Consider the following 26,572-nt stretch of genomic DNA (forward strand, 5'->3'; position numbering starts at 1 on the left):
ACCACCATGCCCAGCTAATTTTTAAAATTTTTTCATTGACTCATTGGTTATTCAGGAATATGTTGTTTAATTTTCATGGATTTGTACAGTTTCCAAAGTTCCTCCTGTTACTGATTTTTAGTTTTATTCCATTGTGGTCAGAAAAGATAATTGATATGATTTTGATTTTTAAACTTTGTTTAGACTTGTTTGCTCCCTTTAGGTCTATTAATAATTCCTTTATATATTTAGTTGTTACAATGTTGGGTGCAAATATATTTATAACTGTTACATCTTCCTGCTGTATTAATCATTTTATATGGCCTTTTATATAATGGCCTTCTTTTTCTCTTTTTACAGTTTTTGGCTTAAAGTCTATGTCTTTTGTATTAGTACAGCTACTCTTGACCTTTTTTGTTTCCATTTTCATAGAATACCTTTTTCCATCCCTTTTCTTTGAGTCTGTGTGTTCTTAAAATTGAAGGGAGTCTCTTGTAGGCAGCATACAGTTGGGTCTGTTTTTTTTAATCCTTTCAACTATTCTATGTCAGCAGAATACATTTTTGAATTAATGAAGCAATAGAAGAAACAACAAGCCAGATTAGTATGGCTATATTAAAAATTTAAAACTTATAATTGAAAACATAATATAGCAGGATGAAACAGAAAGCACTAGAATGGAGAAATATTTGAGAGGGTTAAAAGTTTAATATTATAGTATATGAGGACATATTTCTAAGATTATGTCAAGGGAACTTGGTATGTAAACAGTGTTTCACACCATAGGAAACAAAATAACAAAATTATTGAATTATTTAATTTGTGATCATTTTAAAATATAATCTTAATGCTGTGATATAAATATCTAGTAACTGAACAAAAAATGATTTTAAAATCCTAGTAAAGCTGGTGAGAAATAAATATATTGCTTTAATTTGATTTATTTAACTAATATTTGGTCATTTGTAACGGGAGCTATTAAAATGACTATTTTTTTAATCCAGTAATCTTACCCTTAGAAATCTGCTTTAGAGAAAGAATTGAAAAGAATAAGAACCTTGGCCAGGCATGGTGGCTTATGCCTGTAATCCCAGCACTTTGAGAGGCTGAGGCAGGTGCATCACCTGAGTTCAGGAGTTCAAGACAAGCCTGGGCAACATGGCAAAACCCCATCTCTACCAAAAAGTACAAAAAACTAGCTGGGCGTAGTGATGCGTGCCTGTGGTCCCAGCTACTTGGGAGGCTGAGGTGGGAGAATTGCTTGAGCCTGGGAGGTGAAGGTTGCAGTGAGCTGAGATCATGCCACTGCACTCCAACCTGGGTGACAGAGTGAGACCCCATCTCAAAACAAAAATAAAACAAAACAAAAAAGTAATAAGAACCTCATGTGTAGGTCTTTTAAAACACATAATTTATATAGCAAAAACAATAAATAGATTAAAAAAGCTTTGAAACCAGCCTAAATACTCAAAGTATTTGATGGACTGACTAGAATACATATATTAAGTTACAAATATGCACATTAGATAAAATCATGGAAACTTACTTGTTAATATTAAATTTATGCAAGACTTAATGCAAGACTTAATGTATGTTCTACTTATTGATTTGTGAAGTTTACCTATGAAGATTGTACAATTCCATAGTGACACAGTGATTTTTTTTTTGTTTTGTTTTTTGTTTTGAGACAGAGTCTTGCTCTCTTGCCAGGCTGGAGTGCAGTGGCGTGATCTCAGCTCACTGCAACCTCCTACTCCCTGGTTCAAGCGATTCTCCTGCCTCAGCCTCCCAAGTAGCTGGGATTACAGGCATGTGCCACCACGTCCAGCTAATTTTTGTATTTTTTAGTAGAGACAGGGTTTCACCATGTTGGCCAGGATGGTCTTGATTTCCTGACCTCCTGATCCGCCTGCCTTGGCCTCCCAAAGTGCTGGGATTACAGGTATGAGCCACTGCGCCCAGCCCAGTCATTGTTTTAGTACAAAATAATAGGTAAATTTAAATTATTGAAATGTAGAGGTTTTTTTATAAGTATGAAGGAAAAGTCATGTCAGGATCTCCAGTTGGATATTTATGTCCTCCAGCAATCAACAGATGTTGAAAAACCTCTGGCGGTTGACCTGTTGTGCTTTTATTTACAGTGCTTGTTTCAGGTTCTGGTAAACGTTCCTCAGAGTCCAAAAGCAGGGAAGCCTAGTGCTGCAGCTGCCTCTGTCAGCACCCAGCACGGATCTATCCTGCAGCTGAACGACACCTTGGAAGAGAAAGAAGTTTGTAGGTTTGTGCCTGCTTTGTTGTGATCTAAGTGAAGTCTGCATTTTCTCTTTTTCTATTTTGGTTTTAGCTTTTTTTCTCTTTACAGTATTTTTCTTTATCTTTTCTGGTCCGTACCCAGGAACATGTATTATTCTGCCTCCATGATATTAGCAAAATCCAACTTCTTATTTTCTAATCTAACCACTTGTCTTAATTTTACCTAATGTTTGTAGGTTGGAATACAGATTTGGAGAATTTGGAAACTATTCTCTCTTGGTAAAGAACATCCATAATGGAGTTAGTGAAATTGCCTGTGACCTGGCTGTGAACGAGGATCCAGTTGATAGTAACCTTCGTACGTATATGTTCTCTGCTGATTTTCACATTTGCATTTTCAGAGGTTTCAGTTTTTGAGTACTGTTTGTAAAGCAAAGCAGTCCATGACGCTTTCTGTAGTTGAAAACCTAAATCTTAGGTCATTGATGAGCACCACTCCCCCCAAAAAATCCACATAAATTATAGGTTATTTCTACTTAGTTATGATGTATTTAAAATATGTTTATTGTATTATCTGTATATAATAATACAATTATGTGACATTAAAAAATTATTTATTGGCCTGGCATGGTGGCTCATGCTTGTAATCCCAGCACTTTGGGAGGCCAAGGCAGGCAGATCACTCGAGCTCACAAGTTTGAGACGAGCCTGGGTGATGTGGTAAAACCCCATCTCTACAAAAAATACAAAAATTAGCTGGGCCTGGCGATGCGTGCCTGTAGTCCCAGCTACTTGGGAGGCTGAGGTGGGAGGATGGCTTGAACCTGGGAGGCAGAAGTTGCAATGAGCCAAGATTGTACCACTGCACTGCAACCTGGGTGATAGAGCCAGACCTTGTCTCAAAAAAAATTATATGATATATCAATACATTCTCATAGTTTTTAGTTTAATTATGAAGCATTAATAAGCCAAAAATGTTAATGCAGTGGAAAGAAACTAGAAATAGGGTAATTGACTGTCAAATATCTCTCCTTGTTTTAGGAGTGAGCGTATAGTATTTCCTGTATATCTTCTGCTGCCAGTCCAGAGATCCTCTTAGGTTAAGGAGGGATCATTCATTATCTAATAACCCCACTGAAGAAAATCTGCCATTCGGAACTCCCTATTAGGTAACAATGTATGTGCTGCCTTTTGAAAGGCAGTAACAAATCCCTGTGGTGTGAACAAGTACTGTTCACAGGGAAGCTATTAAAGACTATGAGGTTATATCAAAAGAACGCAGGAGCCGATATGAAAGGGCCAATGTAGGACAATTTAAGCATTAAGAAGAATAATATATGTAGTGGAAGAAAAATAATGAATGTATAAAAACCATGAGGTCATATGAAACTAAGATGAGCAAGGCCTGCCTTCCCAAAGAAAACAAAAACAATGCTTTGTCTTTATAGGTAATCAGGGCACCTGATGTTAACTGTGTGATTTAAAATTGTCAGTTGAAAGGAGAGATTTAAGCATTTATTTTGCCCGTTTTAACTGTAATTCAGGGTAACCAAAGATAGTCCCTGTTGAGGGAAAATTCTGTGGAGAAGAATTCCAGGTAATAAATACAGCAAAAGGGCAGGATATGTCGCAACCCTTAATGAAGTAAGTGATTGTGATTCAGGCATATACTATATGAGTGGATGAAACCACGAGGTGAAGGGGAATTTTTACCAGCTGAACACATCCACCAGTCATGGGGCAACCGCAACAGGTACACTTTCAGTGTTGGCCAGGAAGTTATTGTTAATTTCATATGACATTGTGTTTATATAACAAAAGGCCCATTTCAAAGATACTTTTAGTTTTGAAATAGTTTTAGATTTGTAGAAGTGTTGCAAAAAGAGTTCTCAAATATCCTTCACTTAGCTTCCCCTAAACCCTAAACTGTAAAATCACAGTGTAATTATCCCACATACTATTACTGAAACCAGCAACTTAACATTGTTCTTAACATTGAACATAATATTGATACAGTACTGATTGGGGTTATTTAAATTTCTCTAAATGTCCCTTTTAATATCCTTCTCCGGTGCTGGATTTGAGGTAGGATCCCACACTGCATTTAGCTTTCAGATCTCCTTTGTCTCCTCCAGTCTAGGACAGTTCCTCAGTCTTTCTTTGTCTTTCATGACCTTGATGGTTTGAAGGGTAATGTCTGGTTGTTTTGTCAACTGTCCTTGATTTGGATTTGCTTGATGTTTGGTGTTTTCTCATGAATAGGTAGAGGTTTTGCATTTTTTACTGGTATACAGCAAAAGCGAGGCTGGGTCCTTCTCAGTGCCTTGTGTGAGGAGGCACACAGTGTCAGGCTGTCTTTACAAGGGCTTTAGAGACACATCCTGAAGTATGTAGGGATGAAATAACATGATGTCTTGGATTCCTAAAGAAATAGTTTAGCCAGAAAAAGCAGGACATGGGGGTGGGTGGGTAGTTATAGATGAAGCAACAGGGACAATATCTTGATAATTCTAGGATCTGGGTGATGGATTATATATAGGGTGATGGTACCATTCTCTGTGCTTTTGTTTATGTTTGATATTTTTTATAATGACAATTATCACTCCCTTCAGGGTGAGCATAGGAAATTCAGCATGAGAATATAGGCTTCCCCTCACTGGTTTTCATTTATAGATAAATGTAATGATGTGATGTCTTTGATGTTCATGATGACATTTTTGGGGGCTAATGTGTTTTCTTCTCTTTTTCTAGCTGTGAGCATTGCATTCCTTATTGGTCTTGCTGTCATCATTGTGATATCCTTTCTGAGGCTCTTGTTGAGGTAAGATATTTGGGGAGGACGCCACTGGAAAGGCAGAGTATAGAAATAACACATTCAGAAGGGGCAGCTGTCACCCTCAAGTGGCCATATTCTTCGATGATATGAACATTTCTGTGTCCCCCATGTCCATCCAGTGCTAGGCTTCAGGGACTCATGTAGACTAAGACGTGGTCTCTGACTTTAGGGAAGTGATATTAAAGGTGCTTGTGGATTTTTTCCTTCCTTCCTCCCACATGGCTGAAGAGGAAGAAAATGCTTGAGAAATCATTATTTCCTAAAGCATCCGACTTTTTAACGAGCAGAAGTGGCTCATGACAATTTTAGGAGGAGGTCGCTGCACTGAACTCCCTTCCCCCTCTCTGGCCCTGAGCCCTGAGGCACCTTCTAGTCCAGCTGCCCAACCTCTGCCAGCCCAGGCATCTGGTGGCACAGATGTATGCCTGGTGGCTGTTCTTCTGGACCTCGCACGGACTCCCTGTCCCTTGGTTAGTTTGTTAGCCAATGTGGAGAAGGGACTGGTCCTGCTCTGCGTGGTGAATAGCGATTCTGGTAAGAGTGAATTAGTAGACTAGAACAAGAAAGTAAAATAGATCCAGTTTTAATTAACTTTCAAAGGAAAGTTTTTTTCATGTTTTAAAAAGAATAAGAGTGAATTTTCTCATGCTTATCTTGTTAGGGTCTCAAGAAGAACCACAAGGTTTTATTGATGAGCAATATCCAAACTGAAAGAATGAAAACCTAACCTCTAAGTCGGCTAGCTTGGGAAACCCTGAAGCTTTGGGGAATTTCTGCACTGTGATACTCTAGCTTTGTACATCTTAGAAATAGTATAATTCCATGTGTGAGGACCCCAACTGTGTATAGGGTAAAAGAACCACATGTTGCCCAGAAGCCGGTGTGTAACCTGTTTTTTAGGGATAGAGGAAGATTCTAGCAGTGGAGTTTCATTTCTTTGAGTTAAGGTATTATCTCATCAACCTTTTGATAAAATGCAAATGCTATTTCAGTATATCAGGATGCTTTTCACGTAAATGGATCTATTATGGATTTTTTTTTTTTTTGAGACAGAGTCTCACTCTTGTCATCCAGGCTGGAGTGCAGTGGTGCCATTATGGCTGACTGCAGCCTTGACTTCCTGGGCTCAGGTGATTCTCCCACCTTTGCCTCCTAAGTAGTTGGGACTACAGGCATGCATCACCATGCCTGGCTAATGGTTTTTTTTTTTTTAATTTTTGTATTTTTAGTGGAGACGGGGTCTTGATATGTTGCCCAGGCTGGTCTTGAACTCCTCGACTCAAGTGTTCCATCTGTCTCTGACTCCCAGAGTGCAGGGATTATAGGCATGAGTCACCACACCTGGTCATATTACATGACTTTTTAAAGTAATTGGTAGCTAGGCCGGGTACGGTGGCTCACGCCTCTAATACCAGCACTTTGAGAGGCCAAGGCAGATGGATCACTTGAGGTCAGGAGTTTGAGACCAGCCTGGTAACATGATGAAATCCCATCTCTACTAAAAATACAAAAAGTAGCTAAGTGTGATGGTGGGTGCCTGTAGTCCCAGCTACTCAGGAGGCTGAGGCACGAAAATGGCTTGAGGTTGCAGTGAGGTGGGAGGGAGGTTGGAGGTTGCAGTGATCTGAGATTGTGCCACTGCATTCCGGCCGGGGACTCTCAAGAAAAAAAAAAGTAATTGATAGCTGAGATCAAGCATTTTCAAAGGGAAGAGATTCCACCTTGCCCCATGTGGAACTGAAACTACTCTTTGCACATGATGCTGCCCTTCCAGCCTGCGGGCAGAATGCTCTTCTTGACAAAGCAGGAGTCCCTTATTCCTTGCCCCCTCGCTTTCCAACATACCCAGGGAGGTTCAGATGACTGTGAGCCAAAAAACAACCAGAAAAAGTCGAGAGAATAAAGAGCCCCTCTCTTTTTCACTTAGGCAACAAGCATGAACAAGAAAATTAAGTATTTTTGTTTTATTTTTAGAAATCTTAACTTCTCCTTTTCACCCTTTTTTTTTTTTTTTAATTTTTTGAGGTGGAGTCTCACTCTGCCACGCAGGCTGGAGTGCAGTGGTGCGATCTCTGCTCGCTGCAACCTCTGCCTCTGGGTTTTAAGAAATTCTCTGCCTCAGCCTCCCAAATAGCTGGGATTACAGGCACGTGACACCATGCCCAGCTAATTTTTAGTAGAGATGAGGTTTCAGCATCTTGGCCAAGCTGGTCTTGAACTCCTGACCTCGTGATCCACCTGCCTCTGCCTCTCAAAGTGCTGGGATTACAGGCGTGAGCCACCATGCCTGGCCACCCTTCTTTAGATGTGTCTATTTTAACATTTTACATGTGATGGTGATGTTATCCATGTTGAATAAACTAGAAATCAGAGTTGAGTTGTGAGGGAAAAAGAGAAATTGCAAATGTATGCCTTGGGCATATGGATCATATTTGGATACTGAATTGAACCACTGAACTATAAAAACATGTTATGAAACAGGGAAACTGCACTGGCTATGTGACGGTATTAAGGAATTACTGCTAACATTTAAAAATGTGATAAGGGTATTGTGGTTATGTTTAGAAATAAAAATAGTCCATATCCATTAGAGATACATACTAAATTGTTTTTGCATGAAATGATATGATGTCTAGGATTTTCTATAAAACAATCCGAGGCAGGAATGAGGGACAGTGGGTGAGAGGACATATGAAGTAAGATTGGCCATGTGTCGACACTTGTTGAAGCTGGATGATGGAGGTCCATTATTCAGGCAAACCCTGTGTTATTGTGCTTTGCTTTATTGCACTTCACAGATATTGCATGTTTTACAAATTGAAGGTTCGTGGCAACCCTGCATCCAGCAATTCTTTTTTTTTTTTGAGACGTGGTCTCATTCTGTCTCCCAAGTTGGAGAGCAGTGGTGCCATCACAGCTCACTGCAGCCTTGACCTCCCACACTGCAGCCTTTTGATTTAAAGCGAGAGACGTGCAGCCGGACACCATGGCTCACACCTGTAATCCCAGCACTTTGGGGGGCCTAGGCAGGTGGATCGCTTGAACTCAGGAGTTCGAGACCAGCCTGGCCAACATGGTGAAACCCCCATCTCTACTAAAAATAGAAAAATTAGCTGGGCGTGGCGGCGCACGCCTGTAATCCCAGGTACTCGGGAGGCTGAGGCAGGAGAATTGCTGGAACCCAGGAAGTGGAGGTTTGCAGTGAGCCGAGATCGCGCTACTGCACTCCAGCCTGGGTGACAGAGTGAGACTCCATCTCAAAAAATAAAAAATAAAGTGAGAGACATGCAACTCTTTCTTTTACTCAAACGCTTAGAAGCCATTGTAGGGCAATTATAATTGGCCTAATTTCAATATTGTTGTATCTGAATGAATAGAGAGGCCCAAAGAGAGGGAGGGAGATGGAGGAACAGTCAGAACATACTCAACGCTTATTGACCTTATTGACCTCCCAGGCACAAGCAGTCCTCCCATCTCAGCCTCCCAAGTAGCTGGGACTAGAGGCATGTGCCACCATGATAATTTTTTTTTTTTTTTTTTTTTTTTTTTAGTAGAGATGAAGTTCTCACTGTGTTGCCCAGGCTTGCATTGAGTAATTCTGTTGGCACCATTTTTCCAACAGCATGTGCTCACTTCTTGTCTTTGCATTACATTTTGGTAATCGTTATAATATTTCAAACTTTTTCATACTATTATATCTGTTATGGTGATCTGTGATCAATGATCTTTGATGCTCCTACTGTAATTGTTTTGGGATGCCATGAACCCTGCCTGTATAAGATGGTGAACTTAATCAGTATTGAGTGTATTCTGACTGTTCCACCCACTGACTGTTCCCCCATTTCTCTCCCTCTCTTTGGGCTTCTCTATCCTTTCAGATACAACAATATTGAAATTAGGCTAATTAATTATCCTACAGTGGCTTCTAAGTGAGTAAAAGAAAGAGTTGCATGTCTCTCACTTTAAATCAAAAGCTAGAAATGATTAAACTTAGTGAGAAAGGCATGTCGAGAGCCATGATAGGCTGAAAGCTAGGCCTCTTGTGCCCAACAGTTAGCCAAGTTGTGAAAGTTCTTGAAGAAAATTAAATGTTCTACTCCAGGGAAGACACAAATGATAAGAAAGTGAAACAGGCTGGGCTTAGTGGCTCACACCTGTAATCCCAGCACTTTGGGAGCCTGAGGCCAGATTATTGCTTGAAGCTAGGAGTTCGAGACCAGCCTGGCCAACATGGCAAAACCCCATCTCTACTAAAAATACAAAATTAGCTGGGCATGGTGTTGCATGCCTGTAATCCCAGCTACTCTGGAGCCTGAGGCAGGAGAATTGCTTGAACCCGGGAGTCAGAAGTTGCAGTGAGCTGAGATTGCTCCACTGTACTCCAGCCTAGGCAAAGGAGCTAGACTCTGTCTCAAAAAGAAAAAAAAGAAAAAGAAGAAAATGAAACAGCCTTACTGCTGATATGGAGAAAGTTTGAATGGTCTGGATAGAAGATCAAACTATTCCCTTAAGCCAAAGCCTAATCCAGAGCAAGGCCCTAGCTCTTTTCAGTTCTGTAGAGACTAAGAGAAGTGAGGAATCTGCAGAAGAAAAGTTGGAAACTAGCAGAGGTTGGTTCAGAAGGTTTAAGGAAGGAAGCCATTTCCATAACATAAAAGTGCAAGGTGAAGCGGCAAGTGCTGATGGAGAAGCTGCAGCAAGTTATCCAGAAGATCCAGCTAAGATAATTGATGAAAGTGGCTACACTAACAACACAGTTTCCATGCAGATGAAACAGCCTTCTATTGGAAGAAGATGCCATCTAAGACTTTTAATAGCCAGGAAGGAGAATTCAAAGCTTCACAGGACAGGCTGACTCTCTTGTTAGGAGCTAACGCAACTGGTGACTTTAAGTTGAAGCCAATGCTCATTTACCATTCTGGAAATCCTAGGGTCCTTAAGAATTATGCTAAATCTCCTCTGTCTGTGCTCAATAAATGGAACAGCAAAGCCTGGATGACAGCACATCTGTTTACAGCGTGGCTTACTGACTATTTTAAGCCTACTGTCGAGACCTACTGTTCAGAAAAGAATATTTTTTTCAAAATATTGTTGGTCATTGACAATGCAGCAAGTCACCCAAGAGCTCCAATGGAGATGTACAAGCAGATGAATGTTGTTTTCATGCCTGTAACACAATATCCATTCTGCAGCCCATGGATCAAGGAGTAATATTGATTTTCAAGTCTTACTATTTAAAAAATAGGTTTTTATAAAGCCGTATAGCTGCCATACATAGACAGTGATTTCTCCAATGAATCTGGGCAAAGTCCATTGAAAACCTTCTGGAAAGGATTCACCATTGTAGATGCCATTAAGAAATTTGTGATTCATGAGAGGAAGTAAAATTATCAACATTAACAGGAGTTTGGAGGAAGTTGATTCCAGCCCTCATGGATGACTCGGGGGTTTAAGGCTTCAGTGGAGGAAATAACTGCAGATGTGGTGGAAATAAAACTAGAATTAGAAGTGAAGCCTGAAGATGTGACTGAATTGCTGCAATCTCATGACAATACTTGATCAGACAAGGAGTTGCTTCTTATAGATGAGCAAAGGAAGTGGTTTCTCAAGGTGGAATCTACTCCTGGTAACCATGTTGTGAACATTGCTGAGATGACAACAAAGGATTTAGAATATCACATAAATGTAGTTGGTAGAGCAGAGGCAGAGTTTGAGACGATTGACTCTAATTTTGAAAGAAGGTCTAACTGTGGGTAAAATGCTATCAAACAGCATCACGTGCTGCAGAGAAATCTTGTGAAAGGAAAAGTCTGTGGCAAACTGTATTGTCTTGATTTCGGAAATTGCCACAGCCACCTCAACCTACGGCAGCCACCACCCTGACCACTCAGCAGCCATCAACATGGAGGCCAGATCCTCCACCAGCAAAAAGATTAGAACTTGCTGAAGGCTCAAATAATCATTAACTTTTTATTAGCAATACATTTTTAAATTAAGGTATGTAAACTGTCTTTTTGTGCATAATGGTATTGCACACTTAATAGACTATAGTATAGTGTAATATATAACTTTTATATACACTGGGTCACAGAAAATTTGTGAGAGTCACTGTATTGTGATATTGGCCTTATTGTGGTGGTCTGGGACCAAGCCTGCAGTGTCTTGAGCTATGCCTGTACTGGTTTCTCTGCTTCTGTGTAACTGTTCATGACCAAAAAATAAAAGGGGAAAAAATCCTATGCACTGGATAATTTGTTTATGCCAGGGTAGGGTATACTTTTCAAAAGATTTCTTCCCAGGTAGAAATCTCATTTTAAAGAAAAACCAGTTAATATATTTATCTTTTGTTAGTCATGTAAATCAATTTAATGTTATCTGGATATCTTTCTTTTCTTTCTTTCTTTTTTTTTTTTTGAGACAGAGTCTTGCTATGTCACCCAGGCTGGAGTGCGGTGGCACCATCTCGGCTCACTCCAAGCTCTGCCTCCCGGGTTCACACCATTCTCCTACCTCAGCCTCCTGAGTAGCTGGAACTGCAGGTGCCCGCCACCATGCCTGGCTAATTTTTTTGTATTTTTAGTAGAGACAGGGTTTCACCGTCTTAGCCAGGATGGTCTTGATCTCCTAACCTCGTGATCCGCCCGTCTTGGCCTCCCAAAGTGTTGGGATTACAGGCGTGAGCCACCGCGCCCAGCCTGGATCATTTTGAATTAAAGCAACCATATTCAAAAAGAACCCAGTACATTAACTATTTGAATCACCCCAAAGTTGCTTTCAACTTTTCCCAGTGTGCACATATGCATTTTTGTTTGTAATTGAATGTAAATGTTAGGTTTTTGCTTTTTGTATTTAATAGTTGATCTTTTTTTTTTTTTTTTTTTTTTTTTGAGATGGAGTCTCGCTCTGTTGCCCAGGCTGGAGTCCAGTGGGCGTGATCTCGGCTCACTGCAACTTCCCTCCGCCTCCTGGGTTCAAGCAATTCTCCTGCCTCAGCCTCCTGAGTAGCTGGGATTACAGGCGTGTACCACCACATCTGGCTAATTTTTGTATTTTTAGTAGAGACATGGTTTCACCATGTTGGCCAGGCTGGTCTCGAACTCCTGACCTCAAGTGATCCACCCACCTCGGCCCCCCAAAGTGCTGGGATTACAGGCAAGAGCCACCATGCCTGGCCTAATAATTTATATCTTCATCTTAATGTTTCTTTGTGTGGGCAGAGCCCACATTCTTTTGCTTTCATGACTGTATCACATCCTATCACACAGCTGTCATATTCTGTGTTTAGTCATCCTTGTTTTGAGTAAATTTGGTTGTTTCCAAGTTTTTGCTATTTTAATTTTAATAGTATTATTAGTGAGAATCCCAGCCACGGGGAATAGTTACCTCATTTACCTTCTGAAGTCTTTAATGAAAGCTCTGTCATCATTCCTGTTTTATTGATGAGGAAACTATGCTGTCAGAGTTGAGTATTTATAAGTAGAGCTGCTGAAAATTGTGATTTCTATTTTTATATTGTTAAAAAATGTTTAGAATGTTTAATTACTTAGTAATATAGAATATGAGCTTTAATTTTATTTCCATATAATATCCAATCATTTAAAAAATTCTGCCAATGAAAATAAATTAATTGAGCCCTTTATTTATTTTCAGTTTGGATGACTTTAACAATTGGATTTCTAAAGCCATAAGTTCTCGAGAAACTGATCGCCTCATCAATTCTGTAAGTTATGAGATGCATAGTGTATTGCCCAGGTGGTTTTCTAAACTTGGAATTTATAGTTTCTTATTTAATCATTATTGTCCAGTTTTATGTTTATATTGAGGAAGGCCAGGTTGTAGCTCCCGTATTCCTAATAGAGAGCAGCCCTCTCTTCAGCTGCTGGGAAGGGCTCCATCCCTTCTCTTGCTTCAGTGACATTGGAACGTTCCGCTCTATCAGGATACCTGAGGTAGAGACATTTTTCACTCTGCAGGCAGCATTGTTGAATCAATCCAGTTAAGTAGAGAGTGTCAAAGTTAAAACAAAGAAATAAGAGACAACAATATTAAATCTATAAATGCTGATGGCCTCCTCTAATGATTTAAATATGTCATTAAATTTTTGTTAATAAATTCAGGCTCATTTATGGGGATGTTGGCTTCTGTGCTTGTGCTAGATGCACTTACGACTAGTTTTTTTGGTGTCATTTATCAATGTGGCCACTGGCAAACTCAGTAAAAGGCAGGAAAAGCTGATAAAGTACAAAACCAGACCTCTAGATGGGATCTTTACAAAAGCAAATCCAAGTATTGTTTAGAAAAACTTTTTTATTTTTTGAGACAGGATCTTACTCTGTTGCCCAGGCTGGAGTTCAGTGGCGTGGTCTCAACTCGCTGCAGCCTCAACCTCCTGGGCTCAGATGATCTTCCCACCTCAGCTTCCCAAGTAGCTGGGACTACAGGTGTGTGCCACTCCACCTGGCTAATTTTTGTATTTTTTGTAGAGACAGGGTTTCACCATGTTGCCCAGGCTGGTCTCAAACTCTTGGGCTCAAGAGATTTGCCCACCTTGGCCTCCCAAAGTGCTGAAATCACAGGTGTGAGCCACTGTGCCTACAGAAAAACTATTTTTTAGCTTTCTAAACTATTTTTAGATTTCTACTATATCACATTCTTTCCTAAAGAAATAAAAAATTGATGCCGGTTGCGGTGACTCACGTCTGTAATCCCAGCACTTTAGGAGGCTGAGGCAGGCAGATCATGAGGTCAGGAGTTTGAGACCAGCCTGACCAACATGATGAAACCCCATCTCTACTAAAAATACAAAAATTAGCCGGACGTGGTGGCGCATGCCTGTAATCACAGCTACGCAGGAGGCTGAGGCAGGAGAATCGCTTGACCCCAGGAGGTGGAGGTTGCAGTGAGCCAAGGTCTTGCCATTGCACTCCAGGCTGGGCCACAGAGCGAGACTCTGTCTCAAAAAACAAAACAAAACAAAACAAAACAAAGAAATCAAAAAATGACAAAATGAAATTTACCCCTTAGCATTATGAGTTGTCATCTTTCTCCCTTTTTTTCTGAAGGAGCTGGGATCTCCCAGCAGGACAGACCCTCTCGATGGTGATGTTCAGCCAGCAACGTGGCGTCTATCTGCCCTGCCGCCCCGCCTCCGCAGCGTGGACACCTTCAGGGGGTATGTGGGCCTCCCTGTAGCACAGTGGGTGCAGGTAGTCACAGGACTACATAATTGTACATACACACACTTTTAGCTTTTAAGGACTTTTACATATCTTTTACTTTCTAGGCTAGGAAGGATTTCTTGGATGTAAAAGTAAACTCTGCAGCCTCTCCAGTCTGGAAGACCATCATGATCCTCAGTGTCTGTATTGACAGAGGAGTAGTGGATGAGGCCAGAGCCAGTGTCCACTTGGATACGTGGTCTGCTGAGTGAAGGGCATTTTTATTTGGGCAAGTCGCTGTTACTTGGGGCTGCAGACTGTATCCCATGTCCAGTCAGTAGCTTGACGGCTCAGAAGATGCACTAGTCTAGCAAGGAAACACCAGCATGTGGCAGAGGGAGGGCTGATCCTGCGCTGCTAGCAGAGTGACTTGAGTATCAGGCCCTCGTGCTAGCAAACCCATAGCCCTGGTAGAAGAACAAGGGCCAGGACTGAAATCTGAAAATAAAGTTTAAAAACTGTATAGCGAAGAATAAATACACAGGTATCAGCTCTTTTATTTCTACATACTGAAGCCTTCTGAACTCTAGTGACAACCCTATAACTTTGCCCCAGTCTCACCAGAGCCCTGAGTGCCCTGGCAGGTAGATTGGAAGCAGGTAGTAAGAACAATATGATCATAATGAAACTTGCTAACAATTCTGGAGTTCTCATAATGTGCCAGTCACTGTTCTAACTCGTCTTAATTTATTTAATCTCTTAGTAATCCTATGAGATATATACTTTTAATGTGCCTGATTCACATTAAAAGTAAAAGAAATTGTGCTGCTGAGTGAAGTAACTTGCCCAAGCTCACTCAGGTACCAAATAGGAAAGCCAGGGTTTGATGGCAGGCACTTGGGTTACAGAGTCTCCCAAATTAGTCTGTTGACACCTAAGGTCAGCACCCTCAGCATTCTGCACAGTTAGCCTCAAACAGTAGCACATCCGGAATCTATTACTCTGTCTTTTAGATTTCCATTGCTACTTTTGGAGATAAGATGGTCACAGATAGACAGGAACTAACATTTATTAAGTGTCTAAAATATGCTGGGCACTGGTTAGCTGCTGTAAAATACATCATTCTCCTTAAAAGTCACATGTGGTTAGGGCACTTTCTTTTACAGATGAGCACACTGAGTTTACTGATGAGAACCTTGCCCAGGGTCTTATGGCTAATGACAGAAAAGGATCTAAGATTGGAATTCTGAGCTCGCTGACTCAGCTGGCTGTGTGCCTTCCACCAGAGTTCTTTAACCCGAGACATCTAAATAATTAGCACAAAACTGAGTTATTGGAAATATTTTGCAATGTTTTCAAGTTACATAGTTTAAGACTGCAGTATACACTTTGGTTAAGACATCATGTTGGCAGTGTTGGCAATGGTCCTAACTGTAGTGCATGGTCCTAATTGCGATGACTAGAAAATAATCGCTTCTTGGCCTTGATGTCTCATCTTGTGTAATAAAATGCTCAGTAGAATTGCATTGTTGCATGATTGCACCTTGTGAGTATAAATGTGTCTTCAGTTCAGCCCTTCCTTTTCACATAGCAAACCCTGAAAGGCTTCTCTTTGTTGGCTTCTTCTAGGATTGCTCTTATACTCATGGTCTTTGTCAATTATGGAGGAGGAAAATATTGGTACTTCAAACATGCAAGTTGGAATGGTAAGATATTTCCTAAAAGTAATGTTGCTTATATACGTCCTTCACAGAGCTTCAGGGCAGGAGAATCACTCAGCATTCTCCCCAGAAACTCCAGAAATGAGCCCCAGCAGCCTCCTCTGAGCCACTGAGCTCCTGCTCCCTCCTAGGGTGACCTGTAGATGATTCTGCGAGCCCTTTAGTTTTGTTCCTCCTTTTGTGTGCTGTGAATCTGTAAAGCTTCACTGTAATAACAGACTCTAGAAGTTTCTGCTGTGGGACTGAGGGACTCTGCAGAATATGTTATGGATTTGGTTGTAAATGATCATGGTCATATTCTAGATATGCCTTCTATTACAGCCACCATGCTCTTGGGGGCTCTGTCTTCTAGGACTTATGGTCCTTTTTGAGATGGCGTTGAACTAGGATTGGTCTGAGTGGTGGTGAATAATATCTGTAAGTCTGGCTTGGTAGTTGCTTTACAAATGGATTAGTGCTTCTTAAACATAACAAACGTGTCTACATATTTCTAGTTTGGTTTTCCTGTGTCTAGTTATGTTCATAGGAAGTGTCCCAGCCAGGTCCAGTGCTTGGTTGCAGAGTCTCAAGGAAGAGTTTGTGAGTTTACTTTCTTTTTTTAAAGGCAGAGTCTTGCTTTGTAGCCCAGGCTAGATTGCAGTGGTGTGATAATAGCTGACCACAGCCTCGACCTCCTGGGCTCAAGCAATCCTCCCACCTCAGCCTCCTGAGTAGCTGGGACTACAGGTGTGTGCCACCATACATGGCTAGTTTTTTAAAACAATTTTTAGTACAGATGGTGTCTCACTCTGTTGCCCAGGCTGGTCTCAAACTCCTGGGCTCAAGCGATCCTCCCACCTTAGCCTCCCAAAGTGCTGGGATTACAGGTGTGAGCCACACCACACCTGGCCTATGAGTTTTCTTTTTCTTTTTCTTTTTTTTTTTTGAGATGGAGTTTCATTCTTGTCACCCAGGCTGGAGTGCAATGGCGCGATCTTGGCTCACTGCAACCTCTGCCTCCCAGGTTCAAGTGATTCTCCTGCCTCAGCCTCCCAGGTAGCTGGGATTACAGGTGCCCGCCACCACACCCGGCTAATTTTTGTATTTTTAGTAGAGACGGAGTTTGATCACGTTGGCCAGGCTAGTCTCGAACTCCTGACCTCAGGTGATCTGCTCGCCTCGGCCCCCACAAAGTGTTGGGATTACGGGCATGAGTCACTGCGCCTCCCCTGGGTTTACTTTCTATACCAGTGTGTAATGAAGTCCACACTAGATTTAGGAGGTATTTGTATTCTAGAGTCCTTTTGCTTATGCTTTGTACTTGTTCTGCAGGGCTGACAGTGGCTGACCTCGTGTTCCCGTGGTGAGTTGCCGGTCTGCCCTCTTCTCTTCCACGGGTTGACTCCAATCTCCTGTTTTTCAGATGATGCTGGAGCCTCTCTTCTGAGACGGGCATGTGTTATGTGGTTAGGAAGTCCTTCCAAAAGTCCTGTTACTGGATAGTTCTCATACTTGACCCAGTGCCTACACGTGTGTATAAAAGAGTGATTTGGGGCCGGGCGCGGTGGCTCACGCCTGTAATCCTAGCACTTTGGGAGGCTGAGGCAGGCGAATTACCTGAGGTCAGGAGTTCAAGACCAGCCTGGCCAACATGGTGAAACTCTGTCTCTACTAAAAATACAAAAAATTAGCTGGGTGCAGTGGCACGTGCCTGTAATCCCAGCTACTCGGGAGGCTGAGGAAGGAGAATCACTTGAACCCAGGAGGCGGGGGTTGCGGTGAGCAGAGATCACGCCACTGCACTCCAGCCTGGGCGACAGAGTGAGACTTCATCTCAAAAAAAAAAAAATAAAAAAAATAAAGTGATTTTATAGGGAATATTTTGTTAGTGTAGATATGGTATGCCAGATCCTGAAACCTTGTAGGAAATTATACATTCTGAACATGTAGTTCAGTTCCATTAATCCTGAAAATACTTATAAAATCCTATTTCCTGAAGAATTACAGTATATTGGTATCAGTGAATGCTAATAAATATGTAGGTGGGCAATGATAGTCATAAACTAAAATTTAAAATAACAGTTGAGTAGCTCAATTCTGTCTCTGATCATTCATAGCTTCTTATTCTTGTGAAGGGACATTGCCTATGTGATGTGGAATTTGTATCTTTGCTATGGTGTATTAAGTGACATTGCTCCCTCATTAGCAGGTAGTACCAGCCTTATTATTGTTATTTTTTATTTCAAATTTTAAATTTTTGTGGGTACATAGTTTATATAGTATGGTAGATATGAGATATTTTGATGCAGGCATACAATGTGTAATAATCACATCAGGGTAAATGGGGTACCCACCCCCTCAGGCATTTACCATTTTGTGTTATAAACAATCCAATTATAATTTTTTAGTTATTTTTAAATGTACAGTAAATTATTGTTGACTGTAGTCACCCTGTCATGCTATCAAATACTTGATCTTATTCATTCCATCCAGCTATATTTTTGTACTCATTAACCACGCCCCCTCCTTCCCTCCCCACTACCCTTCCCTTCTGGTATCCATCCTTCTATCGCCCTGAGTTCAGTTGTTTTAATTTTTAGCTCCACAAATAATTGGAACATGGCTTATTTCACTTAACATAATGTCCTCGAGTTCCATCCATGCTGTTGCACATGACAGGATCTCATTCTTTTTTATGGCTGAATAGTACTTCATTGTGTATATACACCACATTTTCTTTCTAAGTGTCTGTTGATGGATGCTTAGTCTGCTTCCAGATCTTGGCTATTGTGAATAGTGCTGCAATAAAGATGGGAGTATCTCTTCAATATACTGATTTCCTTCCTTTTGCATATATACCCAGCAGTGGGATTGCTGGATCATATGGTACCTCTACTTTTAGGTTTTGAGGAACCTCTAACCTATTGTCCATGGTGATTGTACTAATTTACATTCCCACCAACAGTGTACAAGTGTTCCCTTTTCCCCACCTCCTCATCAGCATTGGTTATTGCTGTCTTTTGGATAAAAACCATTTTAACTGGGGTAAGATGATATCTCACTGTAGCTTTGACTTGCATTTCTCTGATGATCAATGATGTTGAGCACCGTTTCATATTCGTGTTTGCCATTTGGATGTCTTCTTTTGAGAAATGTCTGTTCAGATCTTTTGTCCTCTTTTTTTTTTTTTTTTTTTTTTTTTCAAGATGAAGTCTTGCTCTGTAGCCCAGGTGGGAGTGCAGTGGCATGATCTTGGTTCATTGCAACCTCTGCCTCCTGGGTTCCAGCGATTCTTCTGCCTCAGCCTCCCGAGTAGCTGGGATTACAGGTGCGCACCACCACACCTGGCTATTTTTTTGTATTTTTAGTAGAGATGAGGTTTCACCATGTTGGCCAGGCTGGTCTTGAACTCCTGACCTCAGGTAATCTGCCTGCCTTGGCCTCCCAAAGTGCTAGGATTACAGGCGTGAGCCACCGAGCCCGGCCTTTTAATCCATTTTTAATTGGATTATTAGATTTTTTTTCCTATAGAGTTGTTTGAGCTCCTTATATGTTCTGGCTATTTATTGCTTGTCTGATGGGGAGTTTGCAAATATTTTCTCCCATTCCATGGGTTGTCTCTTCACTTTGTTAATTATCTTCTTTTCTGTGTGGAAGCTTTTTACTTGATATGATCCCGTTTGTCCATTTTTGCTTTGGTTACTTGTGCTGTGTGAAGTGTTAATCAAGAAATCTTCACTTAGTCCAGTGTGCTGGAGTGTTTCCCCAATGTTTTCTCTTAGTAGTTTCATAGTTTGAGGTCTTAAGTTTAAGTCTTTAATCCATTTTGATTTGATTTTTTTAATATGATGAGAGATAGGGGTCTAGGTTCATTCTTCTGCATATGAATATCCAGTTTTCTAGCATCATTTTTTTGAAGAGACTGTCCTTTCTCCAATGTGTGTTCTTGGCACTTTTGTCGAAAATGAGTTCACTGTAGCTATATGGATTTAGCTCTGAGTTCTTTATTCTGTCCCACTATCTATGTGTCTGTTTTTATGCCACTACCATGCTGTTTTTGTTTCTATAGCTCTGTGGTATAATTTAAAGTCAGGTAATGTGATTCTTCCAGTTTTGTTCTCTTGCTCAGGATAACTTTGGCTACGCTGGGTCTTTTGTGGTTCCATATAAATTTCAGCATTTTTTTTTCTATTTCAGTGAAGAATGTTATTGGTATTTTGATAGGGATTGCATTGAGTCTGTAGATTGCTTTAGGTAGTGTGAACATTTTAACAATATTAATTTTTCTAATGTATGAACATGGAATTTCTTTCCATTTTTTGGTGCCCTCTTCAATTTCTTTCATCAGTGGTTTATAGTTTTCATTGTAGAAATCCTTCTCTTCTTTGGTTAAGTTAATTTTGAGGTACTTTATTTTATTTGTGGCAATTGGAAATGGAATTCCTTTCCTGATTTCTTTTTCAGATTGTTTTCTGTTGGCATATAGAAATGCTACTGATTTTTGTATGTTGATTTGTATCCTGCAACTTTACTGAATTTGTTGATCAGTTCTAATAGTTTTCTGGTGGAGTCTAGGTTTTTCCAAATATAAGATCACGTTATCTGCAAACAAGGGTACTTTGACTTCCTCCTTTCCAACTTGGATGCCCTTTATTTGTTTCTCTTGTCTGACTGCTCTATTTTTGTACTCATTATTAGTGCCATGTTGAATAACAGTGGTGAAAAGTAGGCATCCTTGTCATGTTCCAGATCTTGGAGGAAAGGCTTTCAGTTTTTCCTAGAGACACCAAGGAATGCAGCAAGAGCAAACTTTCATCTCTGTGATCCCTTGCCAAGTAATTAGAAAAATCAGTATTCTAACTTTTTTTTTTTTAAAGAGATAATTTAGGGCCAGGTGTGGTGGCTCATGCCTGTAATCCCAGCACTTTTGGGAGGCCGAGGCGGGCGGATCACAAGGTCGGGAGATTGAGACCATCCTGGCTAACACGGTGAAACCCTGTCTCTACTAAAAATACAAAAAAAAGAAAATTAGCCGGGCACGGTGGCGGGCACCTGTAGTCCCAGCTACTCAGGAGGCTGAGGTGGGAGAATGGCGTGAACCCAGGAGGCGGAGCTTGCAGTGAGCCGAGATCGTGCCATTGCACTCCAGTCTGGGCAACAGAGCAAGACTCCGTCTCAAAAAAAAAAAAAAAAAAAAAGAGTAATTTAGTAATTTAGTATGGTCAAAGAAAAGAAAGGAAATGTGTATTACTTAGACTAAATGGAGAGAGAAAAAGTAAGCTTTCATTTTTCTTTCAGGTGCAGAAGGGTGTATAGAAATGATTGAAATGTCTGTGTTTCAAGGGCTTTGAGGGTGTGCTTGTGAATGTCAAGTTATTTGAAGACATTACTGTGGCTTCGAATCATCATTTCTTTTTGATAACGAAATGGGAGGGTTGTCTTTGGAAATTCCATTTAATATTAAAGAAATTTTCTCCTAAGACAGGACTTGAAGGTGCACTGTCAAAAACCTTCCAGCCCCATGGGGCTATATTCTGAACTCTTCCTCTACTGTTAGCTCAGTATTATTTCAGTAATTGGCTACTTTAAACAAATTATGGTTGCTTCTCTTTTATAGCATATTATAAAATGTTACTGATATATAGACAAAAAATTTGGAAATGGCCACCTATTAATAACTAGATTCTTTTTAGGTTTGTATTTATTATGGGATCTTCCATTTTTCTATCGATGACTTCTATACTGCAACGGGGGTGTTCAAAATTCAGATTGCTGGGGAAGATTGCATGGAGGAGTTTCCTGTTAATCTGCATAGGAATTATCATTGTGAATCCCAATTATTGCCTTGGTCCATGTAAGTACTTTTTCCCTCTGTTATATATATTCAGGTTGAAATATGGAAACTATATGTTGTAATTTGAGAGAAATGCAATTCCTCCATCTCAGGTGCCTGCAAATAGAATAATCATTAGGAAAGTATATACAATGGTTGTCTAACTGTGAGCATTATTATTATTATTTTTGAATTTTAGACCTGGGAGGAGCCTCTGAGACTACTCAAACCCTTCTCTTGTGCAGAGGAAAAGTCTGAGGCCAAGAGCGATTGAAGGTTTTCTCTGGATTATCTGAGTGTAGTGAGAGGCACAGCAGGGACCAGACCAGGCCGCCTTGGTCTCCAACTTTGCCCCCTGCTAATGTGATTTCATCAGCTTTCTTTTTTTTTTTTTTTTTTTTAAATTTATTTATTTATTTTTTATTGATCATTCTTGGGTGTTGGGATTTGGCAGGGTCATAGGACAATAGTGGAGGGAAGGTCAGCAGATAAACAAGTGAACAAAGGTCTCTGGTTTTCCTAGGCAGAGGACCCTGCGGCCTTGGCCTTCCGCAGTGTTTGTGTCCCTGGGTACTTAAGATTAGGGAGTGGTGATGACTCTTAACGAGCATGCTGCCTTCAAGCATCTGTTTAACAAAGCACATCTTGCACCACCCTTAATCCATTTAACCCTGAGTGGACACAGCACATGTTTCAGAGAGCACAGGGTTGGGGATAAGGTCACAGATCAACAGGATCCCAAGGCAGAAGAATTTTTCTTAGTACAGAACAAAATGAAAAGTCTCCCATGTCTACTTCTATCCACACAGACCCGGCAACCATCCGATTTCTCAATTTTTTCCCCACCCTTCCCGCCTTTCTATTCCACAAAACCGCCATTGTCATCATGGCCCATCCCCAATGAGCCGCTGGGCACACCTCCCAGACGGGGTCGTGGCCGGGCAGAGGGGCTCCTCACTTCCCAGTAGGGGCGGCCGGGCAGAAGCGCCCCTCACCTCCCGGATGGGGCGGCTGGCCGGGCGGGGGCTGACCCCCCCACCACCCTCCCGGACGGGGCGGCTGGCCAGGCAGAGGGGCTCCTCACTTCCCAGTAGGGGCGGCCGGGCAGAGGCGCCCCTCACCTCCTGGATAGGGCGGCTGGCTGGGCGGGGGGCTGTCCCCCCCACCTCCCTCCCGGACGGGGCGGCTGGCCGGGCAGAGGGGTCCTCACTTCCCAGTAGGGGCGGCCGGGCAGAGGCGCCCCTCACCTCCCGGACGGGGCGGCCGGCCGGAAGGGGGGCTGACCCCCCCCACCTCCCTCCCGGACGGGGCGGCTGGCCGACCCCCCCCACCGCCTCCCTCCCGGACGGGGCGGCTGGCCGGACAGAGGGGCTCCTCACTTTCCAGTAGGGGCGGCCGGGCAGAGGCGCCCCTCACCTCCCGGACGGGGCGACTGGCCAGGCGGGGGGCTGATCCCCCCACCTCCCTCCCGGATGGGGCGGCTGGCCAGGTGGGGGGATGACCCCCCCACCTCCCTCCCGGGCGGGGCGGCTGGCCGGGCAGAGGGGCTCCTCACTTCCCAGTAGGGGCGGCCGGGCAGAGGCGCCCCTCACCTCCCGGATGGGGCGGCTGGCCAGGCGGGGGGCTGATCCCCCCACCTCCCTCCCAGACGGGGCGGCTGGCCGGGCGGGGGGCTGACCCCCCACCTCCCTCCCGGACTGGGCGGCTGGCCGGGCGGGGGGCTGACCCCCCCACCTCCCTCCTGGACGGGGCGTCTGGCCGGGCAGAGGGGCTCCTCACTTCCCAGTAGGGGCGGCCGGGCAGAGGAGCCCCTCACCTCCCAGACGGGGCGGCTGGCCGGGCGGGGGGCTGACCCCCCCACCTCCCTCCCGGACGGGGCGGCTGGCCGACCCCCCCCCCCACCGCCTCCCTCCCGGATGGGGCGGCTGGCCGGGCAGAGGGGCTCCTCACTTCCCAGTAGGGGCGGCCGGGCAGAGGAGCCCCTCACCTCCCGGACGGGGTGGCTGGCCGGGCGGGGGGCTGACCCCCCCCACCTCCCTCCCGGACGGGGTGGCTGCTGGGCGGAGACGCTCCTCATTTCCCAGACGGGGTGGTTGCCGGACGGAGGGGCTCCTCACTTCTCAGACGGGGCGGTTGCCAGGCAGAGGGTTTCCTCACTTCTCAGACGGAGCGGCCGGGCAGAGACGCTCCCCACCTCCCAGACAGGGCTGCGGCCCAGCAGAGGCACTCCTCACATCCCAGACAGGGCGGCGGGGCAGAGGTGCTCCCCACATCTCAGACGATGGGCGGCCGGGCAGAGACGCTCCTCACTTCCTAGATGGGATGGCGGCGGGGAAGAGGCGCTCCTCGCTTCCCAGATGGGATGGCGGCCGGGCAGAGACGCTCCTCACTTTCCAGACTGGGCAGCCAGGCAGAGGGGCTCCTCACATCCCAGACGATGGGTGGCCAAGCAGAGACGCTCCTCACTTCCCAGACGGGGTGGCTGCTGGGCAGAGGCTGCAATCTCGGCTCTCCGGGAGGCCAAGGCAGGCGGCTGGGAGGTGGTTGCAGCGAGCCGAGATCACGCCACTGCACTCCAGCCTGGGCACCATTGAGCACTGAGTGAACGAGACTCCATCTGCAATCCCGGCACCTCGGGAGGCCGAGGCTGGCGGATCACTCGCGGCTAGGAGCTGGAGACCAGCCCGGCCAACACAGCGAAACCCCGTCTCCACCAAAAAAAACCGAAAACCAGTCAGGCGTGGCGGTGCGCGCCTGCAATCGCAGGCACTCGGCAGGCTGAGGCAGGAGAATCAGGCAGGGAGGTTGCAGTGAGCCGAGATGGCAGCAGTACCGTCCAGCCTTGGCTCGGCATCAGAGGGAGACCGTGGAGGGAGAGGGAGAGGGAGAGGGAGAGGGAGAGGGAGAGGGAGAGGGAGAGGGAGAGGGAGAGGGAGAGGGAGAGGGAGAGGGAGAGGGAGAGGGAGAGGGAGAGGGAGAGGGAGAGGGAGAGGGAGAGGGAGAGGGAGAGGGAGAGGGAGAGCATTTCATCAGCTTTCGATAGTGTGCGGCAGTTCACGAATCCACCTTCACTGGCACTTGTATGGCAGCTGGGTTTCTGGAAGGAGTAATATCTTTGTCATTAGTTTAGTGGTGCGCAGGGACAGCAGAGCTGAGGGAAGGCTTGTGAGCCCTCTGCTTTGAATGAGTATCAGAGTCGGGAGGGCACTAGTCACTGTCCTCAAGGGCCTTGCAACTGTCGTTAGCAGAAGAGGACACAAACATCTAGACAATGGCCAAATGGAGCCCTCAGGCAATATGTACTTTAATAGGCACTAGCAAGAGGTGGAGGTCACTTCTAGATGGTGTTTCATATGAATGTGGACTTGGTGGATCTCCAAAAAGGGAGCCACTGCTTCCAGTAGGATTCATTTTAGGGTTTGTTGTCAGGTCTGTTCTTCCGGTCATACGGTTGGGTAGCAGATAGGGCAGGGAGGGTCAGTCAGTGGCGTTCTTGGGGTGATACAGCTGGGTAGTGGGTAGGGCAGGGAGAGTGGCTTGTGTTGGGCCTGCAAGGTCCTAGCAGACGTGCGGGTTGATTGCAAATTCCTAATAGGAAAGAGCCAGGGTCAGGCACAGGCCTGGCTTTATCCCCACACCTGAGTAAGACGCTTTGGTTCTTATCCCAGTCTCTCATCTGGCCAGCTTCCTGTTTTGAGTTTGAGCCATGTCCCTGACTGACCCTCCCTCTATTAAGAGGGATTGGCCTGTTTTTGGAAGCTGGGCTGAGCCCATGTCTCTTGACCGTATATATTTCCATGTCCAAGAGCTTAAAAAAGACTTACTTAGATGCAATATAGGTATGTCTTCCCCTTTAGGAAACAAATAATGTTGTCCTGGGATGAGAGGAGAAGTCCTGGCTAACACTTGACCTAACTTGTGTCTTTTGCAGTGTCTTGGGACAAGGTGCGCATTCCTGGTGTGCTGCAGCGATTGGGAGTGACATACTTTGTGGTTGCTGTGTTGGAGCTCCTCTTTGCTAAACCTGTGCCTGAACATTGTGCCTCGGTGAGAAACCATGTTTTAATTAAGAAAAACTTTTTTTAAATTAAAAAAAATGTATTGTGTGGTGATACGGTCTCACTATGTTGTCCAGACTGGTCCCTCACTCCTGGCTTCAAGTGATCCTCCTGCCTTGGCCACCCAAAGCGCCGGGATTACAGGTGTGAGCCACCATGCCTGGCCAGAAACTGTGTTCTTGTTGTTGTTGATACAGGGTCTTGCTGTGTTGCCCAGGCTGGGGTGCAGTGGTGTGATCTTGGCTCACTGAAGCCTCAACATCCCAGGCTTAAGCGATCCTCCCTCCTCAGTCTCCTAATTAGCTGGGACTACAGGAGCGCACCACCATGCCTGGCTAGTTTTATTTATTCTTTTGTAGAGACAAGGTCTCACTATGTTGTCCAGGCTGGTTTCAAACTCCTGGACTCAGGTGATCTTCCTGCCTCGGCCTCACAAATTGCTGGGATTACAGGTGTGAGCCACCATGCCCAGCCAAAACAGTGTTTTTTAAAAAAAGGGAGAACAAAGGGGGATATGGTTTTTAGAACTTCTAAAATTTCTGCATGCAATACTGTACATCTGCTAATCAAATACATTCTGATTTTCACTTTCATTAGTTATTTTTAATCTTTATGTCAATTTTTTTATTATAAAATACACGACATGAGATCTATCCTCTTAACAAATTTGTCAGCAGACAGTAATCACATGCATTCTTTTTTCCTCTTATTTTTAGTTGATATGTAATACTTGTACATATTTATGAGGCTCAGAG

General features: G+C 43.7%; 1 protein-coding gene across 8 annotated transcripts in view, besides 2 other annotated features; it reads left to right on the forward strand.

The window, feature by feature from the left end:
* HGSNAT (heparan-alpha-glucosaminide N-acetyltransferase) overlaps positions 1–26,572 on the forward strand; it is a 62,392-nt gene that overhangs the window by 15,991 nt on the left and 19,829 nt on the right. For 4 of the 8 annotated variants that reach the window (XM_005273409.2, NM_001363227.2, NM_152419.3 and 1 more), the window contains exons 3-11: positions 2,121–2,257; positions 2,469–2,590; positions 4,984–5,053; positions 12,719–12,788; positions 14,131–14,240; positions 15,856–15,932; positions 17,259–17,289; positions 21,620–21,780; positions 25,691–25,806. In XM_005273409.2, the coding sequence (XP_005273466.1) occupies positions 2,121–2,257; positions 2,469–2,590; positions 4,984–5,053; positions 12,719–12,788; positions 14,131–14,240; positions 15,856–15,932; positions 17,259–17,289; positions 21,620–21,780; positions 25,691–25,806 (894 nt within the window). Of the gene's footprint in view, positions 1–2,120; positions 2,258–2,468; positions 2,591–4,983; positions 5,054–12,718; positions 12,789–14,130; positions 14,241–15,855; positions 15,933–17,258; positions 17,290–21,619; positions 21,781–25,690; positions 25,807–26,572 lie in introns of those variants that run through there. The other 4 variants (XM_005273411.2, NM_001363228.2, NM_001363229.2 and 1 more) reach the window with 3 other exon arrangements.
* Positions 3,998–4,097: an enhancer, noted in NCBI's record as "active region_27323". NCBI's record gives its function as "activates an Ori minimal core promoter by ATAC-STARR-seq in GM12878 lymphoblastoid cells {active_cell/tissue: GM12878}" and the evidence as "EXISTENCE:reporter gene assay evidence [ECO:0000049][PMID:35858748]".
* Positions 6,481–6,640: an enhancer, noted in NCBI's record as "active region_27324". NCBI's record gives its function as "activates an Ori minimal core promoter by ATAC-STARR-seq in GM12878 lymphoblastoid cells {active_cell/tissue: GM12878}" and the evidence as "EXISTENCE:reporter gene assay evidence [ECO:0000049][PMID:35858748]".

The sequence above is a fragment of the Homo sapiens genome, chromosome 8 (assembly GCF_000001405.40).
Source record: "Homo sapiens chromosome 8, GRCh38.p14 Primary Assembly".
In the NCBI taxonomy this organism is placed as follows: domain Eukaryota; kingdom Metazoa; phylum Chordata; class Mammalia; order Primates; family Hominidae; genus Homo; species Homo sapiens.